At 39.1% G+C, this 13244-nt stretch overlaps 1 protein-coding gene and 1 long non-coding RNA gene across 2 annotated transcripts in view; one reads left to right on the top strand and one right to left on the bottom strand.

The window, feature by feature from the left end:
- The window catches only part of FUCA2 (alpha-L-fucosidase 2), a 16909-nt gene continuing 3665 nt past the window's right edge, over positions 1-13244 (bottom strand). The window contains exons 2-7 of the mRNA NM_032020.5: positions 12426-12613; positions 9102-9441; positions 7544-7754; positions 7121-7311; positions 2578-2686; positions 1-1036 (exon numbers count right to left, since the gene is read on the bottom strand). Coding sequence (NP_114409.2) covers positions 896-1036; positions 2578-2686; positions 7121-7311; positions 7544-7754; positions 9102-9441; positions 12426-12613 — 1180 coding nt within the window. The 3' untranslated portion in view covers positions 1-895. The remainder of the gene's footprint in view (positions 1037-2577; positions 2687-7120; positions 7312-7543; positions 7755-9101; positions 9442-12425; positions 12614-13244) is intronic.
- Positions 10605-12519, top strand: LOC124901417 (uncharacterized). Its single transcript, XR_007059798.1, has 2 exons — positions 10605-10646; positions 11159-12519. It is a non-coding gene; the product is annotated as an uncharacterized LOC124901417 (long non-coding RNA).

Here is a 13244-nt window from a genome sequence, read left to right on the forward strand (position 1 = left end):
TACATTTGCACAATGAGTTTATGTTTTAAGCTAAGTGTTATTACAAAAGAGCCAAAAAGGTTTTAAAAATTAAAACGTTTGTAAAGTTACAGTACACTTATGTTAATTTATAATTGAAGAAAGAAAAACTTTTTTTTATAAATGTAGTGTAGCCTAAGCATACAGTATTTATAAAGTCTGGCAGTGTTCAATAATGTCCTAGGCCTTCACATTCACTCACTGACTCACCCAGAGCAACTTCCAGTCCTGTAAGCTCCATTCGTGGTAAGTGCCCTATACAGGTGCACCATTTATTTTACAGTATTTTTACTGTACCTTCTCTATGTTTCCATATGTTTCGATATACAAATACCACTGTTACTATTGCCTACAGTATTCAGTAACATGCTGTATATGTCTGTAGCCTAGGAGCAACAGTCTATACCATACACATTAGGTGTGTAGTAGGCTATGCCATCTAGGATTTTGTAAATACACTCTATGATGTTGGCACAAAAAAAAATTGACTAGCAATGCATTTCCCAGAAAATATCCCCATATTAAGTGATGCATAACTATATAATCATGGGGGATATGGCTTCAACATAAAATTTTCAGTTCGGTCCATAATACCACCAATTCCTTGCTACTATAATGTGAAAAAATTCTCACCTCTGAGTCACACATGGAAACAAATCAATGTGAAGAGACTTTAATGGCAAAGTGCACTGGAGAGTTAAAATGGTTACATGGGTAATTTAAGAAAAAATTTAGTGGGAAAAAGGGAAAGGGCTGAACTGCCAAAATAATTTTCTTATCCAGTTTTACATTTGCTTTCTCCATGTGCTACAATTATAGACACCTGATAGTTCCTAGCCTTAGACATAACTTGCAGCATCAGCCACTCTGCTGCACTTTAGATCACATTAGTCAGGGCTAGAGCCCAGCCCCATTTACACGGCATCTGATGAATGGTTAGCTGTGGCAGTTCTACCATAATGCCATTTTGCTCCAAAGAAATCCAGTTAAGTGGCTGTCCATGGCCCAGTAGTTTCACCTGAAATTAAAAACATACATGCAAATGTCTCCAAATTTATCTCTTTATCTCACCCACTTTCTATTGGGAAGGAGTGATTAGTAGTTCAAACAAAATTGTAGACAAGAGGTTCATTTTTACCTTTATTTAGTGATTCACAATCACTCTTCATCCAATTGAGTGTATGTATCTTGCCTCTATATTCTTGCTTCTATTTTACTCTCAAGAGGGAAATAGAAGTGTGCAGGGGTTGGGGAAGGAGAATTTTCAAGACTGAATGGAGTCTCAGAGTGGAGAAAAAGCTAAAGAGAGGATCAGGAGCAGAAAGTGGCTCTGAAACCAGAGTCTGCCCAAGTATCTACTCAGCGTTCCTCCCCCAGATTTTCTAATAACCTCCACTAATCAATAATACATAAATTTGATCAATTATTACTGTAATTGTTTTATATTCTTAGTCTTACTATACTAAGCAAATTCAAATAAGTTCCCTACATATTCTAGGGTTATTTTGAACCAAAAACTTTGCTTCTCAGGTGGATCAATATGAAAACAAAGCCCATGAGCTTTTAAATAATAATGTTAATTGGCACCAAAAAGAACATAGATAAAATAAAAACATAATCAGTATCATACCTGGGCTACTAAGCTGTAATTAAACATTAGATTTGAACTCATCTTCTTTCTGCCTCATCAACCACATGTATTAGAAATGAAATGCAGAAAAGTGATGCAAGGAGAACCCCCATATGGACAGTTCACCTCCAAAGGGATAATTTATTTAAAAAAATAAGTTATAAAATATATCAGAATGAACTCAATGCCAGATCTGGTGGTTTCAACAGTTAGATTAATCTCTAACTTTCTCCAAAATGTTTTATAAACATAAAATAGTAGAGTCATGACATCTTGTATTCAGATATGTTCTGGGGTGGGGTGTCAGGGAAAGCATCCGAATTCTAGTTTTATGAGAAGAATCATTTTGGATGCATGCAGTGAACTTGAACAACGTAAAATGACTGTGAAGAATAATGTCTATTTTACAGTGATATGCATAGAGATACTGCAGCTGTTTTATCAGCTTAGTTTTCTGGGAAACAAAAAGTTTCAAAGATTTTGACCAAACACTGTCATTGGTGAAATTCATTTTATTTTATTATATTTTATTTTATTTTTTCAGAGACAGGCTGAAGTGGTGCAGTCATAGCTTACTGTAGTCTTGACCTACTGGGCTCAAGCAATCCTCCTGCCTCAGCCTCCTGAGTAACTAGGACTACAGGTGCGTGCCACCATGCTCAGCTAACTTTAAAAAAAATTTTTGTAGACAGGGGTCTTGCTATGTTGCCCAGGCTAGTCTCAAACTTCTGGCCTCAAGACATCCTCCTGCCTTAGCCTCCCAAAGTGCTGGAATTACAGTGTGAGCCACAATGCTTGGCTGGAGCTCATTTACAATTCCTTTTATGAAGTATAAGTGAAACAGTTATAAGGCTCCCCTTAAAAGTTAATGTTTGCATCAAGATGTTCTAATCAGCAATTTAAAGGAATAAGGTAAAATTCCCTCTTACCTCTGTTGCCCCCAGAATAGCTTTGGGATGGCCAAGGAACAGCTGTCCTGATGTGGGCCATTTAAGAAAAATGGCATAGACTAATTTTTCTTTAGGCTTGGATGTGTACCTGGTTAAAAGAAAAAAATAAAGAGCATAGTAGCAAGTTACATCCCATGTTTCTCACTATTTATGGATCAGGAACAATCTGGAATTATTTTACAGATACTTCCACAATGTCACCACTAATAGAAGGGAAGGAAAAATAGCCTCATGGTGGTATAAAAAAACACCTTCCTCCCCCAAGACCAAAAGGAAGTTCTTGGAAGACAAAGATTTTCCTGAGCTAGCATTCCTCTTCATCAGACTGCTCTCATGGAGCTGAAAAGGGGAGGGAGATGATCTAAGGGGACAGGATGCAAGAGCTTCATGGCTTTTCATGTATTATTCAAATTTTTATATTCATTCATTCATTCAACAAGACAAGATATGCATGTGTCAATTCTGTGCCTAGTACTGTGCTCAGTGTTAGAGTTACAATAAAAAACAAAACACACATAGTCCTTGTTCTTATGGAGCTTAGACTAGAGTGGGGAAAGCAGACACTAAACAATCACACAAATAATATGAAAGTGTGAGTTCTGATAAGCACCATGAAAGAAAAGGAAATTGAGAGATTATAACAAAAGGATCTCTTTAGATTAGAACATCAGAAAGAAGCCTCTCCAGGAACATAACATTTAATCTGAGACTTAAAGGATGAATGGGAGCAAAGAAGAAGGTAAGGGAAGTATGCTGTGGACAAAAAAAAAAGTGGATTTCATTCATTTATTCATTCAATTACTCAAGAAATACTTATTGAAATCTTAAAATGCTAGACACTGTTTTAGAGCTATATACAACATTGAACAAAGTCCTTGTCCTCATGGGGCTTACATTCTAGTGGAAGAAATTAGAATCAACAAATATGTCAGGTGTTGATTAAATGCTATGGAGAAAACAAGCCAGGTTAGAAGGACAGGGCATGCTAGGTAGGAAAGGAGGGGCCTGGGAGTGTTATTTTAAACAGAATAGTCAGGGAAGACTTCTTAGAGGTGGCATGGAAGAGAACCATGGGAGCGCCATAAGAGCACCACGGGAGCGTCTGGGGAAAACCTTCCAGACAGAATGACAAGTGCAGGAGCCCCAGTGCAAGAGTGTGCTCTGCCTGTTGATGCACTAGCAAGGCAGAGTGCCTGAAGGAGAGGAAGTGGGGGAGGGTGATGGCAGATAAGATCAGAGAGGCGATAGGAGCCAGATTTTATAGGCCCTTGTAAGCATCTATGGGACCTGGCCTTCTCTCTGAGACTGGAAGCCATTGGAGAAATGTGACCATGGGAGTGGCATTATTATTTAAAAGTATACTCTGATTGCTTTGTGGTGAATAGGTTAAAGGGTAGAAATAGAGACCTATTAAGAAGCTACTGAAATAATCCAGGCAGGGGCGAGACAATGGAAACTAAAAGGATGAGGGTTGCCACAGAGAGGATAAGAAGTGGACAGATTCTGAATATATTTCAAAGATGCAGAGGATGATATCTGCTAATGGGTTGGCTGTGACTATAAAAGAAGGGGAAACTAAGGGCTTCAAGGTTTTGGGCTTGACAACCACCTAAAGGATGAAGCTGCCGTTAACTGAGATGGGAAAGACCATGGGTGGAGCTAGTTGATAGCAAAATTTTAAAACTCAGGATTTCAGTTTTGGATGTACAGGTCTAAGATGCTATGCATCTAAGTGGAAATGCTGAGTAGGAAGTTATTGAGGCTGGAGTTCGGAAAGAGGTCTGCACTGGAAATAGAAATGTGGAGATCATCAATATGGCATTTAAAGCCATGAAAATGGATAAGATCACCTGGGACATTAAGATAAACGCAGTGGCTCACGCCTGTAATCCCAGCACTTTGGGAGGCCAAGGCAAGCGGGTCACCTGAGGTCAGGAGTTCGAGACCAGCCTGGCCAAACATGGTGAAACCCCATCTCTACTAAAAATACAAAAAAATTAGCCAGGCTTGGTGGCGGACACCTGTAATCCCAGCTACTCAGGAGGCTGAGGCAGGAGAATCACTTGAACCTGGGAGGTGGAGGTTGCCGTGAGCCAAGATCGCACCAGTGCACTCAAAAAAAGATAGAGAAGAATGGAAGTCCAAAGACTAAACCTCAGGGCACTTCAAGATTTAGAGGTTGGAAAAATGAGATGAAATCAGCAAAGGAACTAACTAAGAAGGAAGAGCCAAAAGGTACGACAAACACCAGGAGAGACAGTGATAAACTGAGGCAGACACTGCCAGTAAGTTAAGAAAATGAGCACTGGGGACTCATCACTGGAACTGGCAAGGCAGATGTTATTGTGGGCCTTGAGAAGAGCAATTCTGGAGTGTGGGGGTGGAAGCTCGACCAGAGGGGGTTCAAGAGAAAAACTGTAGCAAGGAATTAGAGATAGCAAGTGAAAACAATCCTTTCAAGACGTTTTACTACAAAGGAAAGGAGAGAAATGGGAAGATCACTAGAAATGCAAGTGAAATTGAGTTAAAGGGGAGAATTGCTATAACAATCCTTGGGTGGATGATTTGCAATGGGATCAGGACACAAGGGTTGACCTTAAAGCCAAAAGTGAGATAATTTTACATTGTATGTGTCTGGGTGCGTGTGTGTGTGTGTGTGTTTCCATAGTTAACAGTTAGCTGTCCAGAAGCAGGCATGGAATAAGTAGATCTGTATTTAAAGTTGATGTTCCGTCAAGTGAGTATGGCAGAGGGAGCAAGGGTTCAGGAGTTGGGTGTATGCAATAGATTAGTTACAGTGATGGGCCACAGAATCTGTCCCGGATAAGGAAAAAGACAGAGAAAAGATGATAGGATTAAAAGATAGTATGATCACTGGATTATAGATCCCTTTGGAAGCCGAAGTGCCATGCAGAGTGAGCCAAAATATAAGAAGTGGTAGGTAGATGGCAGAATCCTTCAAACTGGAGCCGTGGAAGGGGTTCAGTTATTGGTAATGCAAAGTCTAAAGTATGTTTATAAAAGAAAGGGAAGTTAAGGACACCAAGGTTTTTGGCCTGACAACCACCTAAAGGATAAAGCTGCCATTAACTGAGATGGAGAAGACCGTGGGTGGAGCTAGTCTACAGCAAAAATTTAAAACTCAGGGCTTCAGTTGTGGACGTACAGGTCTAAGATGCTATGCATCCAAGTGGAAGTGTTGAGTAAGAAGTTCGACTTTGCATTACCAATATGACCTTGTATATTGATAATGCAAAGGAACAGGTAACAAAGGTCAAGCGGACAAGACCCCTAGAAGACAGGAGGTGCAGGTAATTAGAACTGTGAATAAAAATTTAAATCTCTAAGAATTATGTGAAGAGTAGTTCTGGGGACAGGGACAGCAAGCCAGGGCTCTCTCAAAGGATTTTAAGGGTTGACCTGGGAGTCTGTAGGTGACTGCAAGAAGGTGGGCATGATGAACCCTGGGGGAAGAAGGCTCCTATGGTGAGGAGGGAGAGCAGGACCACTCAGTGGCAGGGAAGTTGGTAGGAGCCAGACTCACAGTTTTATAAGCCACATTAAATATTTAGCTTTTATGTTTATTTCTTGAAATAAACACAATAGAATAATGGTTAATGATTGTGAAGTCCCAGATCAGATACCCTCATATTCAAATGTAAGTATTCAAAAGTAAGAAGCAAATTCCAAAACCAGATTTCTACTATTCTCTGTCACATGAGAGATTGGTATTGAGTTCTCATTATGGCTTCTCCCAGATCAACATTTTAAAATTCCACAATTATTTGCTCTGTCCAGATTGCCTTACTCCATTTTATTCAATGGGTTGTTAATGTTTTAAGTCATAAGTCAAGTAGATTGAAGAACAATTAGTCTAATCTTTCGGTTCCTATTTGATCAGACAGTACTCAGGTGGCAACTGAAAGCGAATTTTTAGAACTTCACCAATACTCATCTTATTTTATATATGTTAAGAAACCATATCAGAAACTGTCATATTTGTGGAGTCTGATTCGGGTACTCATTGACACACAGAACCTCCTCAAGCTCAGAGAGAAGCATCTTCCCTGAACCCTCCCTATTTTGATTCATTTTTAATCTAACATTTTCTCTGCCATTGGGTACCTCTTGTTTGCTAATTTCATGGGATGCAACATCTGCAAAAGTCAGAATTTACCGAACTGGTTAAACAGTAATCTCCGTTTTAGACTAACCATTCAGCATTTTTCATTGGTCTGAACAGCTTACAATTTTTCTAAGAGCTGAGTACTTTCAGCCAAAATTTGTCCACTACTGGGAGATACCTAGAAATGATGTAAGCTCAATCTGATAAACAATAAATGTTTCAAAACATGCAAATTCTTCCCCTTCTCTTTATATTAGAGTAAGCAAAGTTTGGAAAGTGCTTTGTATATGTAGGAATTCATCCAATTTCTCTTTTTATCCTACTCTTCTTTATATGTCTGATAAATTTTAAATCTCTTCCTTTATAAAAGAGTACTTGGTAACAAGAATGACTTACCACACATCTGGGGTGACAGTGTCATTCTGGGATCGCCAGGTATGGGTTTCATAAATAGCTTCTCCATTGACTTTTAGCCAGGACCCCATTTGCCTCAGTCGCTCCTCAAAAACTACAGAAATGGTGCCATCTAGTGTGGGCCCAATATTCATCAAAAGATTTCCTCCACATGAAACTGTCTCTACAAGTTGCTAAAAAATTAAGAATAATGTTTTTAGATAAATAAAATAATTCCATCTTTAATGTGCTAATATGTTGCATTTATATATTTATACATGTATATATAGTCACTGCCTAGAAGAACAAACACAGGATAGAACAATGTCCTATATTTATAGGCCATTGAGCCATAGAAGAAATAATTCCTACATGACCACACTATTAAGAATATTATGTTAATAGCCACCAGACATTTCACTGTACCTTCACCAATTCTTCAATTGTAAGATAGTCAGAGATTCCAGCTTCCCTCCTATAGCCCCAGGACAGTTTGTCTATTGTCATGCAGTTTTCCCATTTATGTGGCAAAAGATGTCCTGGGTTATAACGATCACTGCAGGTATAGAAGCCACCATGCTTACAGATGCTACCAGCTCCCCAACGATCATTGGTGACTACTGTGCCCCGAACTGGGCTGAAATGAAACATACAATTTTTTAAAACAAAAGGTATAAGCTTTTTATACAAAAAGAAATGTCACTGAAAAGACATGTAATTGAAATACAATTCTGAAAAGGGACCATGGCATAGTACAGTGGAAAGCCCATGGTTTTGAAGTCAAACAGACCTGAGTTGATTGGAGTTCTGGCTTTGTCACTTTCTAGCTCCCAGACCTAGAGCAAATTACCTGACTCCTCTGAATAATGAATTTCCTCATCTATGATTAGAACAAAAATAAGTTATGTAAAACATTAGCCTGGTACCCAGCACATATAGCACTCATAAGAGTATTATATGAATATTTTAAGCTCCCTTCCATATTGTAAATGGTAGCCAAAACTGAATTTATACCCAAGACACTTTTCTTTTCAATGATTCAATGATCTCATACATGTAGTCTAGCCTTTCTTTTTCTCTTACCATTGTGCCTAATATTGAAAAATCTCAGAAAATTTGACTGTTGATATCATGTGAAATATCCCCACAATATTGCTTATCATAGCAGGTGGCATATTTAAGAGGGAAATACACGCCACATAGAGGGAACAGTTTTGAGTCACAAATTGAAGTGATGGCTCCCAGTTTTTTCCCTTGGAAGGAGTACCTGGACACACTGCTGTTTTAAGTATCAAGAGTTCTTCAGAATATTTGTATTTGTGCCCTTTGTGGGCCCAGGAAGTGCAAGCAGAAGGTTGCCTGACTTCGTAGCACAATACCCAGTGCTTTCTAGTGTACATGCAAATTTGGTCCATATAGTTTAAGCCTAATGGAGGAGTTTAATCAGAACTCCCTGTTCTAATAGGGCAGCCTTGAACATACCAGGAAGCAATAGGAAAAAACTGGAGAAAGTGAAAAGGCTGCGATGAAGGAAAAGAGGAGACAAACAAGGGTGACATTGGCTGGGCAGCAAAGATGACCAAAAGGTAAGAGGATAAAAAGAAGCAGTCTGCGGGATTCAGAAGCAAATAGTCAGAAATAGTGATGAAGAAACAGAGTTGTCCCAGAATAGAGGCCATAAAGGACCAGGGTAGGAGAGAAAAAGGGGGGACCCACAAAATTAACACCTTCAAAGTTCTTGATCCTGTGATTTTTAGTCTGATCTCAAAATCAGACCATTGAGTTGGATTTTACTCCTGATTTATTTACCCTTGATTATGTTGAGTAAATAGTGATATATCTAATAAGTATTATTTACAATGATTTTCTCCCCCCATACCACCAATGACTTAAAATGAAATATTTCAAGAGGTGAAGGAATTAAAATGTTAGAAATATATTAGGAATATGGAGGGTAACTGCAGCAATCTCATAGCATACACACCTTTCATTATATAACCAGGCCAAGAAGCCTGTGCTGTTCCAGTATTGATCCGGTGCTCCTCCGTCACCATCCGACCACAGAACCTCAGGCTGATAGTTGTTCACTAACTCATAGAGCTCTGGCAATGTCTTAGAAACTGGAAATTGCCGCTTATGGAATGAACTGGATTCATCCTCAAGGAAGAGCGGATGAAACCATTCAAAAAGGGAATAGTACAGTCCAAAACGCAGGTCAGTTCTGTTCCTAATGGCTACCTCAAGTTCCTTGACAATGTCCCTCTTGGGCCCCTCATCTATGGCATTCCAGTTCCACGAATATTCTGACCCCCACAAGGTAAAGCCTAGAAAATTATAGTGAAAACCCTTGTAAGCATGTCAACTTTATTTTAGTAAATTTCAACCCACACAAATGCCCAAACAAATCACATAGTACATGCGATATATAAATACCTGCTCCTACAAATGACTGTTTTATGGCCATTTTTTCATAGCATATATTGTGCTTTTATATGAGAAGTGAGAATTTAAACAAGGTGAGACAGGTTTTTAAAAGCAACTTTCAGGGTATATCACTGTACGGTCTGATCTATCTCCAGTATTTTCCCTCTTAGATTTTAAGGTCCTTAAGGGATTGCATCATGTCTGCAGTGCTCCCTGCTATGTCTCCAGCCAACTGCTAGCACAAGGTATAAACAATCAACAATAGCAGCTCACAACTAAGATGGGAACATATACATGTACCATGCTAAATGATGACTACCACTATTTATTATGAAGATCCTGAGATGCACTCCTGCAAGATTCTTAGTGTCTTCTAAACCAAAGCTTGAAGTCTACTGCTTAGTTTTAGGATTGTTTATTTTATTATAGTGTGATTCTTAGAACACTGGTGATCCACGTATAGCAAATCTCTTTTAGCCTGATTATTTATTTAACCAGAGGGGCAAAAAAAAACCCCTACTATTCCCAATAGTTCTATACTTTAAAATATACTCACCACGTGTAATCTCATCCTACTATAAAATCATAAGCTTGGATGTTCCTCTTTAATAAAATTACCCAAAAGTGAATAGTCTACCAACTACATAGATAAGAAAAACAATGTATACCTTTATACAAACACTTAGAAGTGGTTCGTTTTTAAGAGGAATTTGTATTTAGATTACTGATTGTTCCATATAAAAATGTTAGAAGAGATATATAAACTGAAATACTTAAAACATAATAAATATGAAAGCCTCAAAAATTTCATCAGTGCCTAGAGACTTAAATACATTGTTACTATTCCACTAAAATCTAAAAGAATCTTTGAGAATAGACATTTATAAGGTACATTTGGTGAAACATTTTACTCTTGGTAAATTAGAACAAGTCTAAGAATGACTCATACTTTCGATTTTTTTTTTTTTTTTTTTTTTTTTGAGACAGGTTCTGGCTCTGTCACCCAGGCTGGAGTTCAGTGGTGCGAACTTCGCTCACTGCATCCTCGACCTCCTGGGCTCAAGTGATGCTCCCACCTCAGCCTACCAAGTAGCTAGGACTACAGGTGTGTACTCCACCACGCCCAGCTAATTTTGTCTATTTTTTCAGAGACAGGGTCTCACTTTGCTGCCTAGGCCAGTCTCAAACTCCTGGCCTCAAGCAATCCTCCTTCCTTGGCCTCCCAAAGTGTTGGAATTATAGATGTGAGCCACTGCACCTAGCCTTAGATTCATTTTAATAAGCTTTTTAAAACAGCTCACTCTTGTTCCTATCATTTCTGTGGTAAGCTTCAGAGCAGTGTTGATATCTAAAGTCATACTCAAAGTTACTCAACTTGACAGGCCCTAATGTCAGACAGTACTAAAACCACTTGAGTCTTCATTTGAATATCACCACCATAAGCTTACACTGCGACGTTCCTTCCTGAGCTTAGTATGCATTTTCCATGAGCAATGAAAACATCTGACAACATGGGTCCCAGAAAATGTATACATGTGGGCTACATCATCTCTCCTCACAGTTTGATTAACAATTTTTATTAAATAAACTCACTATGTAATGTTTTGTGCCATACAGCTTGGGAAAGTTCCTAGACATCAGGAAATCAGCATGTTCTCAAGCAAATACACTTGATAGACATTCATCTCAGCAGGATAAATATCTACAGGAGAAAATCATGAAGCTACCAGAATGTGGCCAAAGGGAAAAATATCCTATGATCATTCCAGATTTTTTGTGTTGGTTCTCCTCTCCTATTCCCATCCCATCCCTGGAGAAAACAATAAGGCAAAGTTTCCCGTTTTTTTTTTTTTTTTTTTTTGAGACAGGATCTCCCTCCGCCACCTAGACTGGAGTGTAGTAAGCCTATCTCCGCTCACTGCAGCCTCAAGCAGTCCTCCAACCTAAGCCTCCCAAGTAGCTGGGACTACAGAGACATACCACTACGCTAATTTTTTAGTTTTTGTTTGTTTGTTTGTTTTTGTAGAGACAGGGTCTCACTATGTTGCCCAGGCTGGTCTTGAACCCCTGGGCTCAAATGATCCTCCTTCCTCGGCCTCCCAAAATTTTGGGATTACAGACATGAGCGACCACATCCAGTGCAAATTTTTTTATACCAAGGCAAAGATGATCATGCAAAAGAAACTAATGAATGAACAAGCCGTTGGAACAAAAACAATTTGTTAATGCTTCCCTGGCCTTACAAATACTGGAGTGGTAATGGGTGGAATCCATTCTATTAAAATAGAATGGATTTTAAATGTGTGGGGGTTTAGATATTCTTCTACCACCTCTGATTTTTCTGGAAACCATTACAGTTCCACAATCCTTTTCCCTCCAGGTGATCTGGGTCACTTTCATCACTTTCATCACTATCAGTTCATCCACTATTTGCACCATTTGGCCAGCTAAGAGTTGGCTAAAAGTGCAGCCAGGTGTGTCGTAATGATGCAAGACTATAGCAGTATAATCCCCATGATGCATTCACAGGATGCATTACAGAGAAGGGGAAGGAAAGAGTGCAATTCCAAGATGAACTTTGACTTGCAACCCACACTCCCTTCAACAAACAGCTTTAAGTAAATCTTGGAAATATTGTTCAAAATACATGTGACAAAACGTGACCATCTTTCCTCTGTTACGTGGCGGGTATGATCCTTTCTGTATTCCTAACATCTCTCAATTTGGGTTGAATGTGCAGTCCCTAAGTCATAAGCAAGTGCCAGTCACCACTTATGGTTGCTCCGAAGAGAAAATTAGACCTTGCTTTAGTTTTTTCTTCCAAAAGAACAACTTTTCATTTCTTAACCATTGTCAGCAATTTCCATAGGCTGGATTGACTTACCTTCATGATGTTTGGAAGTTAAGACAATGTATTTGGCACCAGAGGCCTGAAAAATATCTGCCCACTGGTTGGCATTAAAAAATTTTGCTGTAAATAGTGGTCCAAAATCTTCATATTTGAAACTAGGAGGGTAATTATCTTTCATAAATTCCACATACTTCGGTATCTTTTCCTTTTGCCAATACCACCTAAGGGGAGGAAAGGAAAGAGTGCATAAACAGCACATACACACATATTTAAAAGAACTGCTCCAGCTCCCCTTACCATTTACCCCTCACACAGATAGGACCCAGATTCTCTTTCTCACTTCCCCATTAGTTTGACTTGGCTTTAAAGATAGCTTATGCAAACTAAACCCCCTCTCATTTTCCACCTATCCCCCTGTGATATCCACTCAGCTCATAAACTAGAGCATTCTAGGCAACTCAGCTACCCATTCTCTCTTTTTTTTAAGACAGGGTCTCACTCTGTCACTCAGGTTGGAATGCAGTAATGGAATCATGGTTCACTGCAACCTTGACCTCCTGTGCTCAAGCAATCCTCTCGCCTTAGCCTCCTGAGTAGCTAGGACCACAGGCACGTGCCACCACACCTGGCTATTTTTTTTTTCTTTGTAGAGATGTGGTTTCCATATGTTGCCCAGGCTGGTCTTAAACTCCTGGGCTCAAGCGATCTTCCTGCTTCAGTCTCCCGAAGTGTTAGGATTACAGGCATGAGTCACCGTGTCCAGCCCCATTCTCTTTTAATTCTTCACTTTTAAATCACAACATGTAGTATATGTCTTTACACATTGTCCCTTGTAACATAAGTGATTAGGGC

This window comes from Homo sapiens, chromosome 6, assembly GCF_000001405.40.
Source record: "Homo sapiens chromosome 6, GRCh38.p14 Primary Assembly".
Classification (NCBI taxonomy): Eukaryota; Metazoa; Chordata; class Mammalia; order Primates; family Hominidae; genus Homo; species Homo sapiens.